This window comes from Homo sapiens, chromosome 6 (genome assembly GCF_000001405.40).
Source record: "Homo sapiens chromosome 6, GRCh38.p14 Primary Assembly".
Lineage (NCBI taxonomy): Eukaryota > Metazoa > Chordata > Mammalia > Primates > Hominidae > Homo > Homo sapiens.
In genome coordinates this window covers 143,527,198-143,551,820 of record NC_000006.12, presented here as the reverse complement: position 1 = coordinate 143,551,820, position 24,623 = coordinate 143,527,198, and the positions used below count along the sequence as shown (strand labels likewise).

The following is a 24,623-nucleotide window of genomic DNA, read 5'->3' as shown; positions in this document are numbered from 1 at the left end:
TTCTCTCTTCTACAGGGCATTTTCAATGGGTATTATAATATCAACCACAGATAACAAAATTAACATATCTTCTTATTGCAGCCTCAACCCTATTTTCCAACATCTTCATAATTATCATTGCCGCCACCGACACTCTGATACTAAGGTGTATCTCAGCATCTTTAGTCTCCCTAGAAGGAGGTCCCTATGTTCAACCCATAGAAGCAATAGTTCCCAAGGTCTCCCTTCCTTCCTGTTCCTATCATCACAGCCCTGGTCCGGGTGTTGAGAAACCCAGCTCATCTTGTTCAGCCTTACCTTTTTCTAGTCTACAAAAGGCACAACAGACACTGAGAAATGAAGAATTAAAAATGCTTCACAATTGTAAAACTTTTCAAAAGTCCACAGTAATCCACACTTATCTGAGGTTTTACTTTCCACAGTGAAGTAAGGTATTTTGAGAGTGAGAGAACACATTCACATACTTCTTACATTATAATTATTAGTTATTGTTGTCCTTACTGTACCTAATTTTAAAATTAAACTCTATCATAGGTATGTATGAATGGAAAAAAATACAGTGTATACACAGGGTTCAGCAGTTGCTATCTGCAGGTTTCGGGCATCTACTAGGTGTCTTGGAATGAATCCCCCATAGATAAGGGGGGACTGCTGTATATCCATCTTCTACTCTTGTCTTTTCATGTTTTGGGTAATGTCACCTTAAAGAATGGATTTGAGTTTTCTGTGAATAAAATGTGTTAGTCTTTGGGGTTTTTTTTTGTTGTCTTTTTGTTTGTTGTTGGAGACAGGATTTCACTTTGTCACCCAGGCTGGAGTGCAGTGGTGCAATCATGGTTCATGTAGTCTCAACCTCCCAGGCTCAAGTGATCCTCCTGCCTCAGTTCCCAAGTAGCTGGGACTACAGACACATGCCACCACACTCAGCTAATTTTTGTATTTTTTCTAGAGATGGGGTTTCACCATGTTGCCCAGGCTGATCTCGAACCCCTGGGCTCAAATGATCTGCCCTCCTAGGCCTCCTAAAGTGCTAGGATTACAGGCGTGAGCCACCGCACTCGCCCCTAATCTTTGTTTGTTTGTTTTTGTTGTTGTTTGTTTTTTTAAATCTATTCCCGCCTCTTAATTGTACAGTCCTCTAGACACTGGACACTAGAGGTTTTTCAGAGAAAGTCCCAGAAGCCAATTCATATGGACACTCTTGAAGCAAAATATTTTTTGTAGGTAAAAGTTCTAAAGCCATGCTCTCTCTCTAGATCCTTCAAAGCGTGGATTAGTTTAGATACTTCATCAAAAAACTTCATGAAAAAGCATGACACCCTCCGCCCATTATTTACTATATAGATAATATATAGTAAGGTTTGCCAAACAGGAAAGCAAGAGTAGACTTTTAAGTAGCATGGAAGTTTCCATGGATGGGATGTTGAGGTACATCAGTGCTATAAGGAATCAGTCCTTAAAATAGTTGACAGGCCCATTAAAAGCTCTCCATACAGACTTGCTTCCCTTGAAGTGTGGTCCGAGGACCAGCAGCGTCAGCAAAACTTAGAAGCCTGTTAGAAAGTGCACAAGCTCAATTCCCACTCAAAACCTACTGCATTTCAACAAGATCCCCGGGTGATTCCTATGTTAGAATGTGTATGAGAAAGTCTACATTAGATATGAGAAATGCTACATTAGATAATACGACTCTGTCATCTACTCATATGTGAACTCAGAGTGGGAGCTCTGGTCAGCAGGCCATTACGTTTGATTTGAGTAGTCCACTGATGCATTGGGATATCACTCCAACTCCCACCTAGCAAAAAATGGTAGCCTTGGCACTTTCTGGTGTAAGCTGACCGGGACTCTCAGTTTTCATCCTTTGTGGTGTGCCTTTGTTGCCTATTGTCTATTAACAGTGCAGCAAAGTGATCATGGCTGAAAACCACAACCTAGGATTAAGAGCTTGCTTGTTGAGGCCAGGGACCGGCTGAATCATACCGAGACACCCCACCCCCACTCCTAAGCATGACTTTAACACAGGTGAGGGCCTGCAAACATGAACATCAAGGGAAGCCTTAGAAGAAGGCTCAATGAGCAACTGTTAAAGTAGGCGTGTGCAGAAGAAGGGAGGAGTGGCAGCCAGGCAGCTCAGGAAGGGGAGGTGGAACAGGGACATTTGCTTACAGATTTTAATGTACAAGGCAGGTTTTTCAGCACCAGAAATTTCAAAACACCTTTCTCCCTCCATAGCTGCTTAGCAGCTGCTGAGTACCCCCCAGCAGGTTCCTGGGCTTGGGCAAACATTCTCATCTTGCCATTGCCTGTGGCCGGCCTTCTGAGAATGTGTCAGCTGCCTAAGGAGCAGTCACCCCCATAAAAAAACAATAAATCCAGATCTGGATAATCACATGTGACCTCATGCAAACTCTAAACCCTTGCTGAGAAATGTTTCATCAGATTAAGCCAAAGGAATGCCATCCCGCACCCCGAGCAGGCCTCTGAATCCAGGGTCACCCTTGGGGACGTAATCCCCAGAAAGCAAGGGTTTGAACTGGCCTCACTACCATATTGTTCCATTTGGGAAGAGACCTAGGCCTGATCTGCCATGTGAGGCCCACTATTAATCTTCCTGAAGGAATGAGGAGATCTGGTTAAATGACCACTGAGGGCTGCCTTGAATGGAAACCAAAGGGGCCCAGACAGCTCTGTGGAAATGTGCACCCTACAGACTGGCATGTTCGCTGGGGAGGAGATCAGGCACCATGTCAATCTGGGTCGGGGGGAGAGAATGCCTGTCTTCATGGCCAAGCCTTCTTCCCTGTACTCTTTATACTCCTCAAGCCACAGGTGCCCCCACCTCACCCCAGCCAATGATTTCCATCATCCTTCCTATTCTTATCTTGTTGTTCCCTAGGAACATGCCTCATTCTTGCTTGTTTCCCCCACAACTCTAAAACACCTATGGTGCAATGAAACATCCACTTTGTTATGTTAAAAAAATGCTTCCTTATTTCACATAGTTTTCTTACTCTACTCTTTCCTTTCTTTCTTACCTAAAAGACATTAGGCTTTTCTCTGTGACACGTAGGCTTCCCAGAAGCCCTGCAATTTCTTACCTCCCCGGGCCCCAGGTACAAGGAGGTAATGAATGCTTTTGTTGTGTTTTCCCAGTCCCCCACCTCTCATCGAGGAACTGTGCTCTCCACACCTGCAAGAATACACCCCAGTGGTCTCTGTCCAACAAAACGGATATAGCTGGTGTCAGGAATGGCTACCTGGCCCAGGCTGGTGTGTGGAATTGGATTCCAAGGGAAGCCCTCTCTGCTAGCTTTAACAGAAGACATGTAAATAGGGGAAATCTGAGGAGAATATATGCTCACAGCATCAGAGAAGTCTGGGAGGGAGGGAAAGACAGAAGGATGGACGGTTGAATGGATGGAAAGACAGATTAGTTAGGTAGTGTTACGGACTGAATGCTTATATCCCTTCAAAATCCAAACATTAGAACCCTATCCCCTAACATGATGGTATTATGAGGTGGAGTCTTTGGGAGGTAATAAGGATTAGATGAGGTATTGAGGGTGGAACCTTCATGAATGAAATTAGTGTCATTATAGGAGCTCACAGAGAGCTTTCTTCCTCCCTCTGCCATGTGAGGACACAGCAAGAAGATGGCCATCTATGAACCAGGAAGCAGGCCCTCGCCAAACACTGAATCTGCCAGTGTCTTGATCTTGAACTTCCAGCCTCCAGAACTGTGAGACATAATAAGAGAAATAAACTTCTCTTATTTATAAGCCAACCAGTCTATGACAGTTTGTTATAGTAGGCCAAAATAAGATAGATAGATGATACACATGATGATGATGATGAAGATAGATAGATTAATAGATGATGGATGATGAATGGATAGATGGATAGATAGATGATAGATAGATAGATAGATACATACGTACATACATACATACATAGATACAGCGGGCAAGAGAGAGTTAGATCAATCCCTGGAAACAAAAAGAGAGTGCCCTCCTTGATCACAACCAATGTATCAATGTATCAGTTCCTGGCCGCAAGGTATCATGAAGCCACACTCTCCTTCCCGGTTAATGGCTGCTCTTGTTAACAAATAGACAAACAAACCCCTTTTCCTTCATTCGAAGAAGGGAGTCTCTATTGCTAACTATAGAAATTTGTTCATTTTGTTCAAACCCTTGCTATTACTTAGTAATCCTCTCATTCATATCTGATTGGGTCCCTTCTACAAATGTCACAGTGGCTGTTTCAAAGCTCCTTTACTTTCTAGATCTCACAGTCACTGTGTTAACAGTTCCAACTGATCTGCTTGGTTAGCACATATGACCTTGTGTGGTTATATATTTTGGAGGTACGCAGTGTTACTATAAAGTAATGTGAATGACTTAGCTGTCCAAATGATTGTTATTCCCACCAAAATAATCATGCTGGGAGACAATAAATGTATTCCTACTATGTGGCCACTGTTACTGCCATTTATGGAATGCTTTTTCAAATCTTCCTCAGTGACAGTACATCTATGTCACTCAAATGTAGACATGATTTTTAGAAAGAGCTACAATTGAGGTATAGTTAGGGCAAGAGGATAAAAATATGGGTCACATATTTTAGTCACAAAACTTTTGTTGAACACTGTTTTGCCTAATAAGATTATAATGGGAATGAGTACATACTCTTCCAATATGACAACTCTAAAAGATAACACTCATTTGAAGACATAAATTCTATAACACTTACTAACCATAAGCCATATTCTTTTTTTTTTTTAGATGGGGTCACACTTTGTTACCCAGGCTGGAGTGCAGTGCCACAATCACAGCTCACTGCAGCATCGAACTGCTGGATTCAAGCAATCTTTCCACTTCAGCCTCCTGAGTAGCAAGGACTACAGGTGCGCACCAGTTCACCTGGCTAATTTTTTATTTTTTATTTTTTTTTTTTTTGAGATGGGGTCTCACTATGTTGCCCAGGCTTGTCTCAAGCTCCTGGACTCAAGCAATCCTTCTGCCTCCACCTCCCAAAATGTTGGGATTACATGTGTAAGCCACTGCGCCCAGGCTAAATCACATTCTTTATCATTATCACACCTTTCTGTCTTGTTCTCCAAACATCTGGAGTAAAAATCAAAGATTTATAATGACCAGTAGTTTGGAGAAAAGGGGTTTAATATGTTTGTTCTTGATATTTAGGCTACTTGAAGATTATTTAATAGAAATTATACCTCCAAAGAAGATATGCCAAACATTCAGGTAGGTGAAAATATACATAAAACAAAAAAGATCATAAATCAACATTGATGACCTGACTAATGACCATTAATTATTATGTCACATGCTTACAGTATGTGAGTTATGGACCCAAAATCAAAGCATTGTACCTCTGACATTCTTGCCCTAGCCACAGTCCAAAGTTCTAGAGAGAGATAACATGTTTTTTTTTTTTTTTAAGTCACAAGTTTCTTCCTGTTACGAGGGATAAGCAATAGCTACTCTTTCTCAAGACTTCACAGAGGTATCAAGAAACTGCAAAGTAAGGCATATAAATGTCAAATTTTAGCCAACAGGTCACAAAATAAGTTAGAGCTCAGAAATCTTTCTAAGGCACGCTGCTGCAACCTACTTCTCTGTGCAAATTTCAGCAAGTGTGATCAAAGATAATGAGTCACTCAGCATGGTATTTTAAAAACACTAAAGCTGCTTCAATGTTTTTTCCTGAGTTTCACTGTAACCGAAACTACACTTGTACCTTGAGACAAGATATGGTTCTTGGGCATGAATTAAACACATGATTCTAAAACTGAGTTGTTTTAGATTAAAAGAATCCACCTAAGTAATGATCACCGAAATGTGCTAGCCTGAAAACACGGCAGAACACTCCATCACGAGTAAGTCAAATTTGTTCTTTATGCTAGAAATGTGGTGTTGAATGCACCTTAAAGTAGACGACCATTGACTGGGGCCTTAAAAATACTTTTTGATAGAAAGTGATATTTATTCTGATGATCTCTTTCATAATTCAGAGTAAAACATAATGCGATTTTCCCTCTGTTGGTGGAGATAAACATGAGTTGTTTCTATGAGGGGTGATAGATATGTACTAGGGTGGGGTAGGGTAAGAAAAGAGTATGCATTTTGAAGTCATGAAGATTTGAGTCTTGGTTCTATTCCTTCCCTGCTGCCTGAGGGACTTGGGTGGATTACTCCACTCTTCTGAAACCAGGTTCCTTACCTGAAAAAAGGAGCTGATACACTGTTCTCTCACAGGGTTGCTATAGAGTGTGATCATGTGGGGAAATAATGCAGGATTGGGCTAGCATGAGTGCACTTCCTTCTGCCTTCGTTTGCCTACACTCTTGCATCCAATACCCAGCACCAACATTCCCAGGAGGCTGCAGAGTCCCCGTGGCTGGGGTTCCATCACCACTAGCCTCAGGCTGAACTGACACTTATGACTTCCTTTTCACTCTTCACTTCCATAGGTGTTGCCAAGTGAGGTTTACACACTAACCCCAAGGAAGTTCTAATGATCTCATGGGTAGCTGTATAAAAAACAAAAACAGGCCAGGAGCAGTGGCTTATGCTTGTAATCCCAGCACTTTGGGAGGCCTAGGTGGGTGGCTCACTTGAGGTCAGGAGTTCGAGACCATCCTGGCCAACATAGTGAAACCCCATCTCTACCCAAAAATACAACAATTAGCCAGGCATGATGGCACATGCCTGTAGTCCCAGCTATTCAGGAGGCTGGGGTGGGAGAATCGCTTGAACATGGGAGGCAGAGGTTGTAGTGAGCTGAGATGGCACCACTGCATTCCAGCCTGGGTGACAGAGTGAGACCTGTCTCAAAGAAAAAAAAAAAACAAAAATCTCTCATTATTTTTAAATTTTGGAAATCCCCATTTTTACCCAATCTTCTATTTACACATTTTTAAAAAATCGTTTTAGGCTAGTTTTTGATTTATAGATACTTAATGTCAAAAGAACTATTTTTAAGGTAATTCATGCATTAATTCTACAAGTATCTACTGAGCACCTAGTGTGTACCAGGCTCTCTAGTAGGTACTGAGAATGCAAAAATAAATAAAATATGCTTTCCATCTTCAATGATTTTATGGTGCAGGGAAGGAGAAAAATCCATGCATCATTTGAATGCAGCACAGTAAGCCTTACAATGGAAGCATGCGAAGGTGCCACCACTTACACAGTACTTTAAAGTTCAAAAGCACTTTTCACACATTTCAGCCTCACAATAATCCTATGAGCTATGTGTTACTGTTACTAATTATTTTCAGGTCAGATATAAGGAAACCTAGCATAGGGAGGTGACTTAAACCTAGCATAGGGAGGTGGCAGGTGTCAATCTGTCCTAAGATTACACAGATAATAACCAGATTCTGTGTATGGGGGAGAAAGGTGTGATACCTTTTCTCACCTATCGTAAGGGTCATGGCAACACTCCTGTAACACAAGACAGGTTAACAAGAGGAAAGCCTAACAAACTTCTTGAATCAAAGTTTTATTTGATATGGGAGCCTGCCCGCCTTCCTTCCTTCCCACTCCCTCCCTCCCTCCCTCCTGGAATGAAGGTCTTATGACCTACTATCACACAAGGCAGGTCAAAGAATTTCTTTACGGCTAGTTCCTACACAAAAAGGCAGGGCAAGTTTAGAGTAACATTCCTAGTTTCTACAACCCACCTCAGGGAAGAGGAATTCTAGTCTCTGTGGCCTGCATTTTGGGAGAAAGGGGAACAGAAGATAGGAGGTCAAGAGAAGGGCAAGAGAAGGTCAGAGAGAGGCTTTACTTCTGAGGCCCTTCCAATGTCCTTCAGTTAGAAATACTCAGCACATCAAAGCACCACGCTTTGCGGTATTGTTTTCTGAGCCCTGACAGTCCCAATCTCAGTTGTCTGTGCTCTTTCTACCATTGTCTCTGTCTTTCAGTGTTCATGTCAGAATATACTCAGAATATATCCATATCAAACTTGCAAATGCCTAAATTGTGTCTCCCAGGAAAAAGGCAAACACAGCAACCTCCCATACTCAGTCTCTGCCCAGCTCTCTACTCTCCCTTCTCTCCCAAAAGAACCCTGCTCAGAGCCAAAAGCAACTGCTGAGTGTTTTCTGATTATGCCAGTTTGTTTCAGGCCTTTTACATGTACTGTTTCCCATCCCCAAACACTCTTCCTCCCCAACCCAACTCCATCTTTCAGTTCCTCCTTTTGCATAGAGATAGCCCAGGTTTCACCTCTTGCCAGAGGCATTTTCTCCCCACAGCCATTCCCTATAGCCGACCATCCTAGGTTCTCCCCCAGGCCCAGGACAGGGCACTAATCATAGCTTATACTTTATTGCACTGTGGTCTTTGGCTTATTGGCCTGTCTTTCCCCACTAAACTGTGAGTTCCTGAGGGATGTCTTTGCAACCTTTGTGTTAGCTCACTAGCCATTTGTTGATTGAAAGAAGAAATGAAAAATCAAGATATGCCCTTGCCTACAGCATCTTCATCAGTACGTAGGGGCCAGAATAAATCCACGGCTTTAATATCTGTCTCAGAGCTGCCACTGAGGTACTGACACAAACTAGAGCTTAACTAGTTTAAGTAAATTAGCTCTTCATGCATCCTCTGAAAACAAGAACAGTCATCATCATCATCATGTTATTTACTGAGCATGATGCAAGGCCTATAGCTTAGATCACCAGAGACACTGCTGTGTCTGGCCTGCCACACCCTTTCTGAGTATCCTCTCTGCTTTCAGTCTAACTCCAGAATCACAGAATCACATCTGCTCACCTTTGTATGCCCAGTGCCTGGAACAGTACCTGGCACATAGCAGTAATCAATAAAGACTAATTGAATGAATGGACGAATGGAAACTGGCCAGGCTCAGTCCCTTCTACATGGCCATGTTGGCACTGTGACTTCATGCTCCACAACTGGTTTCGGCTCCAGTGAGTATCTGATCAAAGGCAACAAATCCAGAGGCACCTATGGGGCATATGATCTCTGTCTTGCTGTATAAAGGTGGCTTCACACAATAGGTCTTTTCTAGAGAATTTGAACTATGAAATATGAAGAAATTTTCCCCAGGTAAACACAAGGCAAGAGCTAAAAGGAAACAGAGGAAGATTGCTGTCAGGTAGGTAGGACCCCTGATGTGCCATTTTAAGCAGATGGATGAGGAAACACCTATGAAGGAGAGATAATCTGTTTTGATTAGAGAATAAGAAAGCTGGTCAACAGAGAGACAAACAGAAGCTCAAGCCTGCTGAAACCATGCCAGCCTAGGAAAGGGCTAGAGAAAGAGGAATTGGTTGCCTCAATTCCTGACAACTCTCTGGTGTCAGCCCCAGGTCAGGTGCAATCTGACCTAATAAGGACCTCCTGACTTAACAGGTGAAGCCAATTTTTCAAATGTGCCAAGCTCTGATACAGGACTGTCATCAGCTGCTATGGTAACTTGGTAAGAATCAGATAGGAGATGCCCCTTCTGGAATGAAGCCTGACCGGCGGTCAGGCTCCTGGGTAGATGAGAAGCCCATGGCTTTTGTGCAAAGAAAAGGGTGCTCTCCCTGGGGGAGAAGGAAGGCACACATGTCCACACCAGGTACACAGCTTGACCTGGGCAAAGCGCAGGCTGGACCTGAGCCCACCAGCACCTGCTCCATCCAGCACCCTCTTGTACTGTCCGAGCTGGCCTGGGCAGGGTGGCCTTGCTATTCCCTGACCAGGGAGAGACAGAAAGTAAACTTAGAACCAGATGGTCTTTGTTTGGAAAAAAACCCACTCTGAGTTACACAAATGTAAAGTGAGCAGGTGTTCATTGTTCCTGGCCTAGGGCACCTCCAGCTTAGCTCGTGGCTGGGGCTCAGAAGCCTCTTGGGACCCAGACACCCTTTCGGAGCACAAAGCATCAACTCAAAGAGTTACAACCTTGGAGGTCAGTAAGAAACATAGTAGAAGCACCAGCAAGGGATAAGCAAGCACAAGCTTCCCCCAACAGCACAGGTGACCCAACAGCAGAACTGGTCTTGGACAGCAGTATCTCATGGAAGTGGCCAGGAAGCAGTGCATATGAACTGATAGTACATTGAGGTATGCGAGATTTCTCACTTCCACTCAGCACTGAACACACCAGGAATTAAAGATTTGAGAAAAAGATCCTGGATTTGCTGTTACCCCTATGCCTATATATACCAGGGCATAGGGATACTGAAGAGATGAATCACAGTAATAAAAAGATGAGATTGTACTTGCACATTAAGCTAATGAAGTGGTCCACACACCTATACTGCTTTTTTTGGAGGTGGCTTGAATGGTTCTCTGATCTATGCAGCCCAATGTGCAATGTGCAAGACTAAGCATCATCACATGAAAATAAAAACATCTTTTGGTCCTCCCTATAGCCCACACAGGTCCAGAACAGCACCTGGCACCCAGTAGGCCAACAGTCGGTACTTGCTGAATCTTTACATGGTCTATGCCCCTGGCTGTGTGTCTTCAGGTTCTTTACTTACTAAACACTGTGCTTATCAGAACAGCACATCAGAAACCACTAAAAAGTTATCAAAGCTCCTTAATACCGAACAGGATCTGTCTAAAACTTAAGAGAATACATGACCATATACTATGAGAACCTTGTTTCAAGATTTTACTTTAAAAATTGAGTTAAACATCACTTTATTTACAAAGAAATACTGGATTTTAAAAATCCAAGGCTGGGAGCAGTGGCATGCGCCTATAACACCAGCTACTCAGGAGGCTGAGGCAGCAGGATCCCTTGAGCCTCAGGGTTTGAGGCTGCAGTGCACTATGGTTGTACTGGCGAACAGCCATTGTACTCCAGCTTGGACAACACAGCAAGACTCCATCTCAAAAAAAGAAAAATAAATTCAGAACTTTTGTTGAATTCCAGAAGTGTGAGTTCAAAAACCATATGGCAAAATGAATCCACGTTTTTATAAACATAATAAAAGAGTTTATTCATAAATTCCACTGTTACTTCAATTCTATCTTTAAAAATTGCTTATTTGAAAATATTTTGTTTTCTTAACTTTTTTGTATAGATTTTGAAATATAAAACTGGCTTGGGTTTTTTTTTTCTGATAAAGCACTTGCATTCTTATGTGAAAAATTCCTCAAGCCACAAATTAAATAAAATCCCTTGAAGTCTGAGACGCTTGTCTTGACAAAAATCTAGTAATAATCTAGCATAGTCAGGGGAAGCCGATTCTCTTGGGGTACCCTCACGGTATTTATCAACACAGTGCTAGCACAGAACAGGTCTTTAAAAATATATATTTAGTATTAGACTGACTGTTTGCAGCAGTGGGCAAGATTTTAGAGGCTGAGTTCCAAGTTTTTATTATTCTTTCCTGGAAAGAAGGATGGAGGTGGAGCTGTGGGGGAGGCTGGGGTAATGATTGCAGGTAGCAAGGATGGTCTGTCGTTCTGGAGGGAGGCTGTTCTCTGACAACTCTTGGCAAGCACTCTTTCTTCCCCTTCCTCTTCTCCATTTCAGGTCACTGTCACTGCAAAAGGTGATTTCCTTTTCCCCTCAACACTCTTCTAAGGACCCACAGCAGGGAGTTAACTCATGATTAGAAATTATCCCTTAGGAAGAACATCTGACAACTAGCTGGAATCAAAAATAGGAGCAAGGAAGGCTGCTTGGGAGACTGCAGTAGTAGAAGAGAGGATGTAGCAATAGGGATGTGAGAAGGTACTAAAACAAATTCTTCAAACTTACACTTGTATCACGGTATCACAAGACATACGGCAGCAAGCCAGGGTGACATAATATGGCACAGGACAGCAGTTCTCAAACTTCGCTACTCATTAGCGTCATCTAATGGCCAGGATGCACCTGATGCCAATGAAATCAGAATCCCTAGGTGTGCGACCCAGCCACAGGTTGCTTCGTTGTTAACTCCCCAAGCAATTCCTACGTGTAGCCAAGTTTGAAAACCAGTGTGGGAGAGCAGCACTTTTCAAACTGCAAGGTGACTAAGAACAACCTGGGGATCTTATTAAAATGCAGATTCAGTTAAGCAGGCCTAGGGTGGGGCCTGAGATTCTGAGATGAGGCCACAGATGCTGGTCCGGGGCTGTTTTGGCAAGCCACACATGACCTTGCTCTAGGTGCTGCCTCTGTGTGTGCCCAGAGCTTCTGGAGAAGGGCTGGAAATTGGGCTACTATAGTGTTAGGCCAAGGAATGTTTTTACAAGGCGTGTAACCCTCTTATTGTGCCTCTGAGATAATTCAGAGATCCCAGCACAGTCATCTTGCTGATTCTCAGATCCATCCTGCATGGCTTACAGAGGCTGCAGAGGCTGTGGGGCATGCTGGAGAAATACTCTGTGTGTCAGTGAAGGACCTGCTCATTCTTTTTCTCTCTGACTCTAAGAGCAGGGAGCTCCTGATCACATTTAGTCTGCTCTTAAAGGGATCCGAGGCTCAGTTCTGAAAATGAAATCAGGTACATGAAAGATGTTCACTCTTCTACATCTGTGCCAGCATCCTGCGGCACATGGGACAACTGAGCTGAAAGGTTTCACTTCCTAGCATCCGTTAAGAGGACACAGAAAAGACAAAGAGTCCTCAGAAGTAAAATAATTTTATAAATTGGAGCCCATGGTTCACATGATGTACACTTTGCACACTCACATTTTAAATGTCTTTGCTGTCCTTTTTCGGCATACAGGCCATAATTTCCATCCATGAAAATGAAAAATGGCGATGCAAGCTATACTTTGTCTACAATCACCAACTAGGTGAATTCTCAGTGGTCTCTTTAGAGTCTCTGAACAGTTAATCTTTGTAGAAATCAATCAAAATAATCCATGGCTCGAGTTCAGTTTGGCCAGCACACCAAGAGCAGGTGGTTAAAAACATTCGGACTCAATGCTTTTCACAATACAAATTCAGAGGATGAATCTTTACACAAATCCCACTACCTCTATTCTAACAGTTCTGACTTGTTTCATCCAATGCGATCTACAAAGTCACAACGGCAATGCTTTTGAGGTTTTTCAAGTACACATGTTGGGCGGCAAAAACAATATGACAAGAATAAGAAGACAGAAGGCTATGGTGAGAGAGTTAGCCAGCTGAAGTGGAGTCAGAGGCATGGAAATGTGCTTTTTTGAACAGGAAGCTCAGCTTTAGCTGAGGTTGAGTTAGAACCCAAAGAAGGCCTGATCCCGGAGCACAGAGCCTGAAAACCAGGGCAGTGGTAGCTGGTACAGTGCACGTTCACGCCCCGGCAGGGCTTTTGCCGCTATGGGTAGTTTTTGATGCTAGCTAGCTTCATTTCTAATTTCCCAGCTCCCATGCATCCTACAAAGATTGCACATCAGACAACTGGTGGAAACTTGACGCATCTGGTGGACTTTTAAAAAACAGTCCTACAATTCTTAGGCTAATGCTTTGTTCAAAAGCAGTTTAAAATGATTACTTAATCCACATAACCTCCCAATGTGGTGGTACCATACTATGATTCCCACTCTGAATACTGAGATAGGAGAGACAAGGTTAAGTGATTTGCCCAACGTCACACAACTCGGCCGGCAGCATCGGCCTTAGCTGAGTTCCTGATTTCGTCGGTCCCGGTGCACGGGGCACAGGGCAGCCTCTGAGAACACATGGGCCGGTGCTACCGCAGAGGGGCTAGCTTGAGGCTTTTGTGTGTTTGTGTGTGTGTGTGTGTGTGTAAGACGGAGTCTCACTTTTTCATTCAGGCTGGAGTGCAGTGGTGCAACCTCTGCCTCCCAGGTTCAAGCGATTCTCCTGCCTCAGCCTCCTGAGTAGCTAGGACTACAGGCATGCGCCGCCTCGGCGGCTAATTTTTTGTATTTTTAGTAGGGACGAAGTTTCCTGACCATGTTGGCCAGGCCGGTCTCGAACTTTTGACCTCAAGTGATCGGCCGGCCTTGGGCCTCCCAAAGCTCTGGAATTACAGGCGTGAGCCACCGCTCCTGGCCGAGGCTTTTTCAAAACATGTTAAAGGATGAGAGGCACAAACAGCCCGCCAAACTCTCCCCTGCTCTCCCCCATTAACCTCATGGGTTTTTGCAAGGAGGAAAAACTCATATCCCGGGTCCTCTTACCAGCAACCCGCAAAAGGCGTCTTTATTTCAGAACCATAAGCAGTTAGTTGGGAAGCCTCCCAAGACCTGCCCTGGTCCCAGCCCGCAAAGTGAGGGAACCGCACCCTTCCGAGGGACCAAAGTCGCGCCGAAGACCGAGAATGTTCCTCTTTCTGATGGAAAAGCCTCGGAAGCCAAGCTGCGGTGCTGCCTGGCGCCGTGCAGCCGAGAGGGAGCGCTCCCTACCCCAACCCAGGCTGCACACTCGCCCCGCAAGGCGCACCAAGCCGTCGCCTGCTTTTAGCATCTTCCGCCTAGGGTCGCCGAGCCCGGGCGGCCGAGGAGGCGGCAGTGTGGGGAGTTCAGCCTCCGCCCTCCCCTGTCCCCCACCCCCACCCCGCCGCCAGCCTGCCGGGCCAGTGCCCGCGGGCGCCCCGGGTTGGCCGCGTCGCCCTCGCGGCCACCTGCCCGCGGCCGGCCCTCCCCGGCCCGCGCCCCGAGCCGCTCTTACCTGAGCCGGAGATGTGGACCCGGAGCGGGCGGCCCCTGCTCGAGGACGACGAGAGGTCGCTCTGTGAGCGGCCGCGGGGGCTCGGGTCCCCGGGAAGCCAGCGCAGGGCAGGCGCCGCCGGCGGGGCGGGCGCCTCGGGCTCGGGGACTGGGACCGCCGCCGCCTGCCCGGCCGGATCGACCGGGGACGCCGCGGGGCGCCAGCCCGCCTCGGCCATCGGCTCCCGGCGGCGGGGCCGGAGCACCGGGTGGGGCCGGCGCCGAGGGCTGCGCTGCCCGCTGCTGCCCGGCTCTGCCCCGCGCGCCGCGACCCGGAGGCAGCGAGAAGGGCGGGGAGGTGGACGCCGGGCGCCGAGGAGCCGGTGCGGAGGGCGGGAGGAGGAAGAGGACAGAAAAGTTTGCACAGGAAGGAGCCGCCTACAGCCGGCTCTCGCTCCAGCGGGCGAAAGCTGCAGGGCTCGGAGCTGGGCCGCCCTCGGTGCCCGCGAACCTGCCCGGCTGCTCCTCCCCCAAGCCCCGGGCACTGGCCCCCGGCAGGATGGCAGCAGGGGGTCCCCTCCGCGAAGCTCTGTTCACCCAGCAATCCGGCCGCAGAAAAGCCGAGTTTGGGCTTCTGGAGCTGGGATGCAAGGTCAGAGCTAACGATATCATTTCCATTGTGGTGGGTGGGGGTGCCATGTACACATACGTGAGCTGCCCTATGATGGAGCAAGAATGATCATACCCAGTTAACAGATAGGAAACTCCGGCGCAAAAATGCATTGCACTTGCCGGGTGGATTAGGGGCAGATTCTGGAGTCCCTTGTGAAGTGAAGCCTAATGCCCTTCCCCATCCGCACCCACACCCCTTGCCCTCAAAGCCCATCTCTACCTCTCACGGTTGCCCACATCCCTGGGTATCTGTCTGCTGGGTGTAGGGAGCAAAAAATAGCTTCCCTCCACCCTTCTAGGTTCTTTGGCTGGCCTATGAATTAAACTGCCATAAGGCAGATTAACAGGACAAAGAAAACCCATTTTAATTACCAACGTTCACATGGGAGTTTCACAAAATATGAGGCTCAAAGGGTCAGATGATTGAAGCCTGTATAGCGTCCTGAGTTACAGAAAAGAACAGGATCTTGGAATTTGGGGGGCGGGCAGGTGACACAAGTTATGGGAGGGTCGGGGAGGAAGTGTATAAAGAATAAAGGTTGTCTCGTGCAAATTTTAAAAAGCTGATCAGGTAATAAGGAGTTGTTTTCTAGCGGAAGCATAGGTGTTAATCTGTCTGGGCCTGCTGTGATCCCAGATTTTTCCATTCCTGACAGATGAATTCCTATTAGAGGATCTGCCTTTTTTTGGGGAGGGGAAGGAGTTTCACTCTTGTGGCCCAGTCTGGAGTGCAATGGCTTGATCTCGGCTCACTGCAACCTCTGCCTCCTGGGTTCAAGTGATTCTCCTGCCTCACCCTCTCCAGTAGCTGGGATTACAGATGCCCGCCACCACACCCAGCTAATTTTTGTTTTTTGTTGGGTTGGTTGGTTGGTTTTTGTTTTTTAGTAGAGACAGGGTTTCACCATGTTGGCCAGGGTGGTCTCGAACTCCTGACCTCAGGGTGATCCACCTGCCTCCGCCTCCCAAAGTGCTGGGATTACAGGCTGAAGGATCTGTCTTTAGGCAGATAAAAGGAAGTTCGGAGAAAGCTCCTTCTTGCAATTGCCTTCCCCAAGCACCCTCAGTTTGAAGTAACCAGCCTGCCAAAGCAGCGTATTTTGGAGCAGCATTTTCTGAACTCCTTCATAAGTAAATACTCAAAGGTCATGTTTAAAAAGCCAGTCTTCCGAGAACTAAATAAATATCACAGATTTGATGTCTGAGTCAATGCTTTCTAAAGGAAAGGCAGCTGCATTGATTAGAAATATCTTAGTTAATGCCACACCTTGTAGGATTTTGCAGAATGAGCAGTGGAGATTATGCTGATTCAGCTGGTGATTTCAAAGCCTAAGCTTTATCAATCTCACGATTAGGCCCCCAAGTTGTGACTCGCCCAGAATTAAAAGACTGTAAGTCAGGCTCAGGAGTCATCAGTCCTCTGAAAGTTCATGGCAAAGGAGGAACGTCCCTTGGTTCACCCACAGACCATAGATAGCCAGTGAGAAGAGATGGAGATATGGGGGGAAAGAAGGGACAGCGCTGGCAATTACTCCTGTTAACACACACACCCCGATTCTAGGTGCTATGTCAGGCATTTTGCACGTATTATATCATTTAATAAGAGAACAAACCTAATCAAGAAGGTAAGAGAAAAGAGGAACAAAAACCAAGAGTACATGCTGCAGAAGCACACCGACACGCACAAAGGCCTTAGTAGCAACTAGGTCATGATACACACACACACACACACACACACACACACACACACACACACACAGCTCACCCTTGATCATTTAAAAGGGCTTTCACTTATAATTCTCACAGGAACTCTGTAGGGAAGATATGATTATTCCATCTTTGCTGCAAAAACTGTCCAAATATAGGCTAAGCATGGTGCTGCAACAACTGTCCAAATACAGGCCAGGCATGGTGGCTCACACCTGCAGTCCCAGTATTTTGAGAGGCTGAGATGGAAGGATCCTTTGAGGCAAAGAGTTCATATCCAGCCTGGGCAGTATAGCAAGTCCCCATCTCTGCAGAAATTAAAAATAAAAAAATTTTAGTCCAGCTGGTGAGGCAAGCCTCTAGTCCTAGCTACTCGGGAGGCTGAGGAAGGAGGATCGCCTGAACCCAGGAGTTCAAGTTTACAGTGAGCTATGGTCATGCCACGGCACACTAGCCTGGGCAACAGTGCAAGAGCCTGTCTCAAAATAAAATGAAATAAAATAAAATAAAATAGCAAAACTAATAAATCAAATCTGTCCAAATACAGGCCCCTTTTCACAAAGTCAGCCAATGTTGTCTGGTCTTGCTCTAAATATTTGCTACTAACAGTCTGTTTAAATTTATACTACTCCAAATGTGACCTTACTTTCTTGATATCTTGTGTAGTTTATGATAGGAAAAAAAGGTATCTCTGCCTTTAGAGAATTCACTATGCGTTACTTTAGACAATAGGTCATCGATAAGATTGAGAGTGCACTGAGATGGATTTTACAGTTACCCTGAATAACCAGCATTAGATTACAATGGCATTTCTCAGCACCGTTTGCTATCTAGTGTATTGTATTACCTGATGATGCTGTCTGTATTCCCTCAGTGCACTTCCTCAGCAAGAAGCTCCCCCTTCACAAGCTGCCTTCTCTCTGGGGCACACATTCCAGTTGCCTATGCCTGGGTCTCACCCCAATTTTCTCTCCCCATTGCTTACAACATGAATGTTCATACATTCTTCTGGACTGCATGCTTTTTCCTTTTCTGGTTAATCTTCTGTGTCCTCTCTTGTGAAGAGAGGAATTAAATGAGGAATTAAATGCTTTCAAATACAAGAAGTCTTCTCTGACTCATTTTTCAGTTATTTAGCAATTCATCATTTCAACTTTTATTAGATAATTACATATTTGAGTGCCTTTTTGGGCCAGGCACTGTGCTAGGCTCTCCATATCGTCAAGGAACCTCTCAGCCCAATATTCCTCCATTCATTTTCCCATGACAGTCAATCTTCTACAGAGAGTAGCGTATACTCCAGAAGCTATTCCCAAGTTCTTACAGTCCCCCTTCCCCATTCATTCTTCTACCATCTGTAGTATGACTACTGCTCGCCCTACTGCATGGAGCTGCTTTAGCAAAGATCACATCTGAGCAGCTCATTGTCAAATGTACTGGGAACCTCTCAGGTCTTACTTAATCTGATGTCTTCTGTCGCTTTTAACACTCTCGACCACTGACTCGTTTTGTGGGCTCTGCTTCCCTGGTTTCTAGGACACTCATCTCCCCAGGTGTTCCTTCAGCCCCTCTGCTTCCTTGTTACCCTCTTGTCAGGGTCTCTTTTTTCCATCTGCCCATAGGTACTGTTCCCCAGATGTCCAGCATCAGCCCTCTTCTCTTCCCACTTGACTTGTTTCTCCTGGGAGATCCCAGCTTCGGCTTTGACTTACACACAAATGACTCTCTCCACCCCAGACCTCTCTCCTGGGCTTCAGATCCCAGCATCTAGTTGCTTCCTGGGCTTCCCTTCTTGATGTTTCATTGACATTTGGCAGTCAACACTCCCTGAGCTGAACTCCTCCTCCTCCTCCTCATGAACATGCTCTGTCTATTCTCTTAGATAAATAAATATCTTAATACCTTAAATAAATATCCTCAGAATCGGTTTCCTCCCTGCTATTCCATTGCCACCTCTTTAGTTTGAGCCTCCATCTTCTATTTTCTCCTAAAGGAACTCTCTATCTCCATACTCACTTTCTTCTACTCTGCCCCCATCCCATTTCTGGAATGATCTTTCCAAAGTACTCACAAGACTTCGCTACCCCTCCATTTTAATTCCCTCAAAGCAAGTGTCTATGAATATACACAGAATAAAGTGTATATTCCTCAGCATGGCATATCAGGGTTCCGTACCCTACCCCAAACTCTTTCCTTGCTGCTGTTATACATACTGTGGCGGCTCAGGACACAACACCTCAAAATATGACTGTAGGAGGCCAAAATATGCCACTCTGGGATATACTTCTTTGGCATATTTTGAGCGGGTTATTCTGAGAAACTGCAGACACAGGAGTAGCTCTGAAAAGCTGTCCTTTGGTAAAAGAAATTTACTTCTGTAAAGGAAAACAATTTTTTAGGATTCTCATCAACCAGGGAAGATCTTATCATAGAAGATGAGAATGAAGGTTGACACCTTGCCCAGATGGACTTTGTCACAGGCTGATACAGATTCTTCTGATAGGCTACTCTGAAACAACTTTTATTACCCGAGAGAATTTTTATCTGCACAATAAGACAACCTTTGTTTGCCACACATTTCCTCCCCTCACCCTCCCATGATGTGTGTCACCACCACTCCCAGAAGCACCAAGCCCCTCTTGCTTTCTGTAGCTCAGGGATACTATATGAGCTTCAATCATCTGACTCTTCTTCCAGTCTCAGATTTTGTGGGACTCCTGTGCATATATACATAATTAAATATGTTTTTTTCCTGTTAATCTGCCTACTGTCCATTTTTCATAGACTCAATTATCACACCCTCAGAGGGCAGAAAATCTTCCCTCTCTGCACAATACTCCACTCCCTAGCCATGCAGACCAATTCATCATTCTCTGAATGGCACCTCCTCTTCCTCTCGGGGTGCCTTTGAACTCCCGTTTCCTTTGTCTGCAGCATCATCCCCCGCCTTCTCTAGCATGACCTAATTGACCAACTGTCACTCATCCTTCAAGCCTCAGGTCAAGCGTCTCCTCATCTGTCTTAGTTTGTTTTCTGTTGCTTCTAATAGAATACCTGAAAGTTAGTAATTTATAAAGAAAATGAATTTTCCTTATAGTTATGGAGGCAAAGTCCAAGGTCAAAGGGTCACATCTTGGTGAGGGCCTTCTTGCTGGTGGGGACTCCCTGCAGGGTCCGGAGGTGGTGCAGGGCATCACATGGCGAGAGGGCTGAGCGTATTAGCTCATGTCTCTCTTCCCCCTCTTATAAAGCCACCAATCCCATTCCCATGATAAACCCATTAATCCATGAATGGATTATTCCATTCATTAGGGCAGAGCCCTCATGATCTAATCACTTCCTAAAGGTCCCACCTCTCAATACTGCCAGGTGGGGGATTAAATTTCAACAAGAGTTTGGAGGGGACAAATGTTCTTTTTTCTTTTTTAATGTGTATTTTTTATTTCAATAGCTTTTGGAGTACAAGCGGTTTTTGGTTAAATGGATGAATTATATGGTGATGCATTCTGAGATTTTAACGCACCTGTCACTTGAGTAGTGTATGTTGTACCCAATATGTAGTTTTTATTCCGTGCTCTCCTCTCACCCTCCCCTTTCTGAGTCTCCAAAGTCTATTATATCACTGTCTCTGCCTCTGCATACTCATAACTTAGTTCCTACTTATAAGTAACAACATACAGTATTTGGTTTTCCATTCTTGAGTGAGTTCACTTAGAATAATGGCTTCCAGCTCCATCCAAGTTGCTGCAAAATACACTATTTTGTTCTTTTTTATGTCTGATTAGTATTCCGTGTTGTATATATACCACATTTTATTTATCTACTCATTGGTCAGTGGGCACTTAGGTTGGTTCCATATCTTTGGAATTGTGAATTGGGCTGCAATAAACATATACGTGAATGGGTTGTTTTCATGCAGTGACTCCTTTTCCTCTGGGTAGAAACCCAGTAGTAGGATTGCTGGATTGAATGGTAGATCTACTTTTAGTTCTTTAAGGAATCTCCACACTGTTTTCCAAAGAGGTTGTACTAATTTACATTCCCACCAGCAATGTATAGGCATTCTGGAGGGGACAAATATTCAAACCACAGCACCATCCAGGAAGCTTTCCTGACACTTCCCCAACCTCCAAGCCAGGTGAAGTGCCCATCCTAAACAGTACCATCAGGCTCTTATGTCACTTTTTACACAGGATTGCAGTGGCTGGGGTGCTAATCTGTCACCCCTACTCCCTTTGAGCTACCTTAAGACAGTAAGTACTGATTCTTGCCTTTATTTTCCCAGCACCACTGTGTATTGAATGAATGAATCAATAAATGAAGTCTATTTGGGGAGTAGACATTAACAAATAATTACTTGGCAGTCCATGGCAACTGACAAAACTGAGATTTATGTAGAAGGGCTGAGGAAACTCAGAGGAGCAGTCACCTAACCCGCTTGGGGTGGAGAACCAGGGAAGGCTTCCCAGAGGATGTGGTGTCTGCAATGCAAAGGCACCCCCGGATGAGGAAGGTCATCTGCAAGGACAGAGCCTTGAGGACCTGGGGCTCCTCTGGATGCTGTAATGTAGCACTGCAGAAGAGGAACCCTGTGGGGAGTAGTTCAGTTTTGAACCTGACGAGGTGGACAAAGGTGGGCTAGGATTCACTTTTCAAATACCACTAAGTCTATGCAATCCTAAAATGATTAGGCATCCTGCTTATTTGAGGTTTTGTTTACTTCCAGTTTTGTTTATCCTGTCCCACCTATGCTATAAGATTTCTTTTTCCGGCCGGGCGCGGTGGCTCACGCCTGTAATCCCAGCACTTTGGGAGGCCGAGGCGGGCTGATCACGAGGTCAGGAGATCGAGACCATCCTGGCTAACACGGTGAAACCCCGTCTCTACTAAAAAATACAAAAAATTAGCCGGGCGTGGTAGCGGGCGCCTGTAGTCCCAGCTACTCGGGAGGCTGAGGCAGGAGAATGGCGTGAACCCGGGAGGCGGAGCTTGCAGTGAGCGGAGATCGCGCCACTGCACTCCAGCCTGGGCGACAGAGCGAGACTCCGTCTCAAAAAAAAAAAAAAAAAAAAAAGATTTCTTTCTCCTTAGACTTGTCCCTTGGTACCACGGACATGTTGGCCAGCACGTAGGAAATGTGCCTGTTTGACACTGATTTTAAAAAAAGAGGCATCCAGTACAGCTTTTCAAAGCAAAATGTTTCTAAACTCTATTAGTTTATTTAGCTATTTTCATTGAATACCATTTCCAAAAGGTTAGGGATAAAAACTGAAGATGAAATAAGCATAGTTTTAATCATATAAGAGTGTTTAATACCAAAAATAAAATTAAAAAAAATAACAGAAACAAAAAAACTGTACCTCACTGCTTTACCACTCTCTTTAAAGTGATGACTTATGTAAGATTATAAAAGAAATAAATGAAAATTTATCAACTAGCTTGTTCCGCCCATCAGTGCTAGGAACACTGCCTTCAGCAGGAGCCCAAATGTGGGCTGGGATCTGTCTCATCTCTGGCCAGTGTCTTCCTCCTCCTTGCTGTGCCAGGAGCCCCTCTTAAAGCCACAGTGCCACTTGGAGGGCTCTTTATACATTGCAGATTCACTTACAGAAGGAGGAATTGTTATTCAAAGGCTTTAATACATAATGAAAGCTATCCACATTTCATAAATTAGACAAGCTAGGGAGCTAAACGACCTTTGTAACTGAATTTGTCCCTATTTCATCACTAGTAGTCTTTAGATGCATGAATGTGGATTTTTCATGGTAATGGAAACAGGTGTGACACTCTGGTTAAAATCAAAACTTCCTGAAGGCATTCCTTGAGACAATACCCATCCCCTTCTAACTAATTATTTTTATAATTGCAGTTTTCTTTTGCTATCTTCCCCATCCCCCAAATATATTAAAAAGTTTTATTTCTCAGAGTTTATATGCAAAACATGCACATAAAAATATGGTATGTTTTCTTATGAAATATTTTCCCAAAATACTTGGCATTAGAACTAAGTGTCTTTCACTGACAATAGCATTTCCTTAATATAGGCAGATAAAAATGACTGCAAGTAAGAGAAAGATCAAAATATTATCTGAAAAGAAACGGCAGAGATCAAAATTGACGATACACGATGAAAATGAAATAAGAGAAAGGCAAGGAATCCAGGTAATCAGCAGAGTGAGGATAAATCACCATCTGATAGTGAAAGTAGGCCTGCTTTTAAAGTCACTTAAAAAAAAGAGAGAGAAACAAAAAACAGGAAGTTAGTTTTGATGGTCTCTAAGGCCTCTTCTGGTGTGGAATGTGATGGTTCTGTGAAATTTTTTCTTTGTTTTCATTTTAAAATCGAAGATGAATTCATTTTATGAGAGAGGCCAAAGCTGGCTCATAGTTTTGAGCCCATCCCACCATTTCCCTCTAGAGTACCAGGCTGCAAAAGTAAACACCTCCTTTACCATGCTCTCTTCCTCCCACTCTTCCTTTCTTCTTCTTACTCTAAAACAAACTCATAGAAGTGGAGTGTAGGATGGTGGTTATCAGAGACTGGGGTGCGATGGGGTGGATGGAGAAAGAGGAGATGTTACTCAACAGGTCCAGGGTTTCAGTCAGTCAGACGGGAGGAGGAATAGGTCTGGTGCTGTATCGCAACAGCATGGTGACTATACATATTTTGGAATATATACATTTTGTGGAATAATGAAAAGAGAGCATTTTAGGTGTTCTCACAACAAAGAAATGATAAATATTTGGGCCAGATGCAGTGGCTCACGCCCGTAATCCTAGTTTTGGGAGGTTGAGACAGGCAGATTGCTTAAGCCCACGAGTTCAAGACCAGCCTGGGCAATATGGCAAAACCCCATCACTACAAAAAAACTACAAAAATTAGCCAGGTGTGGTGATGTGCACCTGTACTCCCAGAGACTCTGGTGTCTGAGGTGGGAGGATCACCTGAGCCCAGGGAGGTTGAGGCTGCAGTAAGCCATGATTGAGCCACTATACTCCAGCCTGGGCAACACAGTGAGACCCCATCTCAAAAAAAGATAAATATTTGCAGTAATAGATAGGCTAATTGTCTTGATTTGATCATTCCACAATCTATACATGCCTTGAAACTTCATGTATGCTATAAATATATGCAATTATTACTTGTCAATTAAAAATACAATAAAACATAAATAAATTAAAACAGCTACTATGTCCTAACAGGCTCAGGCTCTGTGCTGGGCACACAGAAGTGAATAGGAATCTCTCTAATCTTGGACTAGCAGCATAGGAGACAGGGGTGTACAAACTACAGTGGAGAGATAAAGGAGGGAATAATTGACCCTTTTGGGGTGAGTCAGGAAAAGTTTCAGGACACAAGAAGTGGCTTATACAAGTGAGTAGGGATAAAAAAGAGGAAGAGGCAGGGAAGGCATCCCAGGCAGGGAAAATACCATGCATGCGGGCCCAAGGCAGGAAAATGGAAGCGAAGAGGAGGGAGGTGAGTATGGCTGGAGGCTTGGAGGAGAGCGGGGACGTGCTGGAATGTGAAACAGAGGCCTGTAAAAAGATTTAGGCACAGAAGAAATGTGATCAGCATCACTGTCTTTTGCTTCAATTTTGATACCTCAATTTGATCCCTAAGTAATGCATACGTTTAATTTGTGGTGGTGT

General features: G+C 44.7%; 1 protein-coding gene across 1 annotated transcript in view, besides 5 other annotated features; it reads right to left on the bottom strand.

Annotated features, from left to right (window-relative positions):
• Positions 1–14,943, bottom strand: part of PHACTR2 (phosphatase and actin regulator 2) — a 294,308-nt gene extending 279,365 nt beyond the window's left edge. The window contains exon 1 of the mRNA NM_001394736.1: positions 14,614–14,943. Coding sequence (NP_001381665.1) covers positions 14,614–14,830 — 217 coding nt within the window. The 5' untranslated portion in view covers positions 14,831–14,943. The remainder of the gene's footprint in view (positions 1–14,613) is intronic.
• Positions 2,041–2,130: an enhancer, noted in NCBI's record as "active region_25203". NCBI's record gives its function as "activates an Ori minimal core promoter by ATAC-STARR-seq in GM12878 lymphoblastoid cells {active_cell/tissue: GM12878}" and the evidence as "EXISTENCE:reporter gene assay evidence [ECO:0000049][PMID:35858748]".
• Positions 12,584–12,633: an enhancer, noted in NCBI's record as "active region_25202". NCBI's record gives its function as "activates an Ori minimal core promoter by ATAC-STARR-seq in GM12878 lymphoblastoid cells {active_cell/tissue: GM12878}" and the evidence as "EXISTENCE:reporter gene assay evidence [ECO:0000049][PMID:35858748]".
• Positions 14,467–14,826: a silencer, noted in NCBI's record as "silent region_17629". NCBI's record gives its function as "represses an Ori minimal core promoter by ATAC-STARR-seq in GM12878 lymphoblastoid cells {active_cell/tissue: GM12878}" and the evidence as "EXISTENCE:reporter gene assay evidence [ECO:0000049][PMID:35858748]".
• Positions 14,847–15,276: a silencer, noted in NCBI's record as "silent region_17628". NCBI's record gives its function as "represses an Ori minimal core promoter by ATAC-STARR-seq in GM12878 lymphoblastoid cells {active_cell/tissue: GM12878}" and the evidence as "EXISTENCE:reporter gene assay evidence [ECO:0000049][PMID:35858748]".
• Positions 16,863–16,952: a silencer, noted in NCBI's record as "silent region_17627". NCBI's record gives its function as "represses an Ori minimal core promoter by ATAC-STARR-seq in GM12878 lymphoblastoid cells {active_cell/tissue: GM12878}" and the evidence as "EXISTENCE:reporter gene assay evidence [ECO:0000049][PMID:35858748]".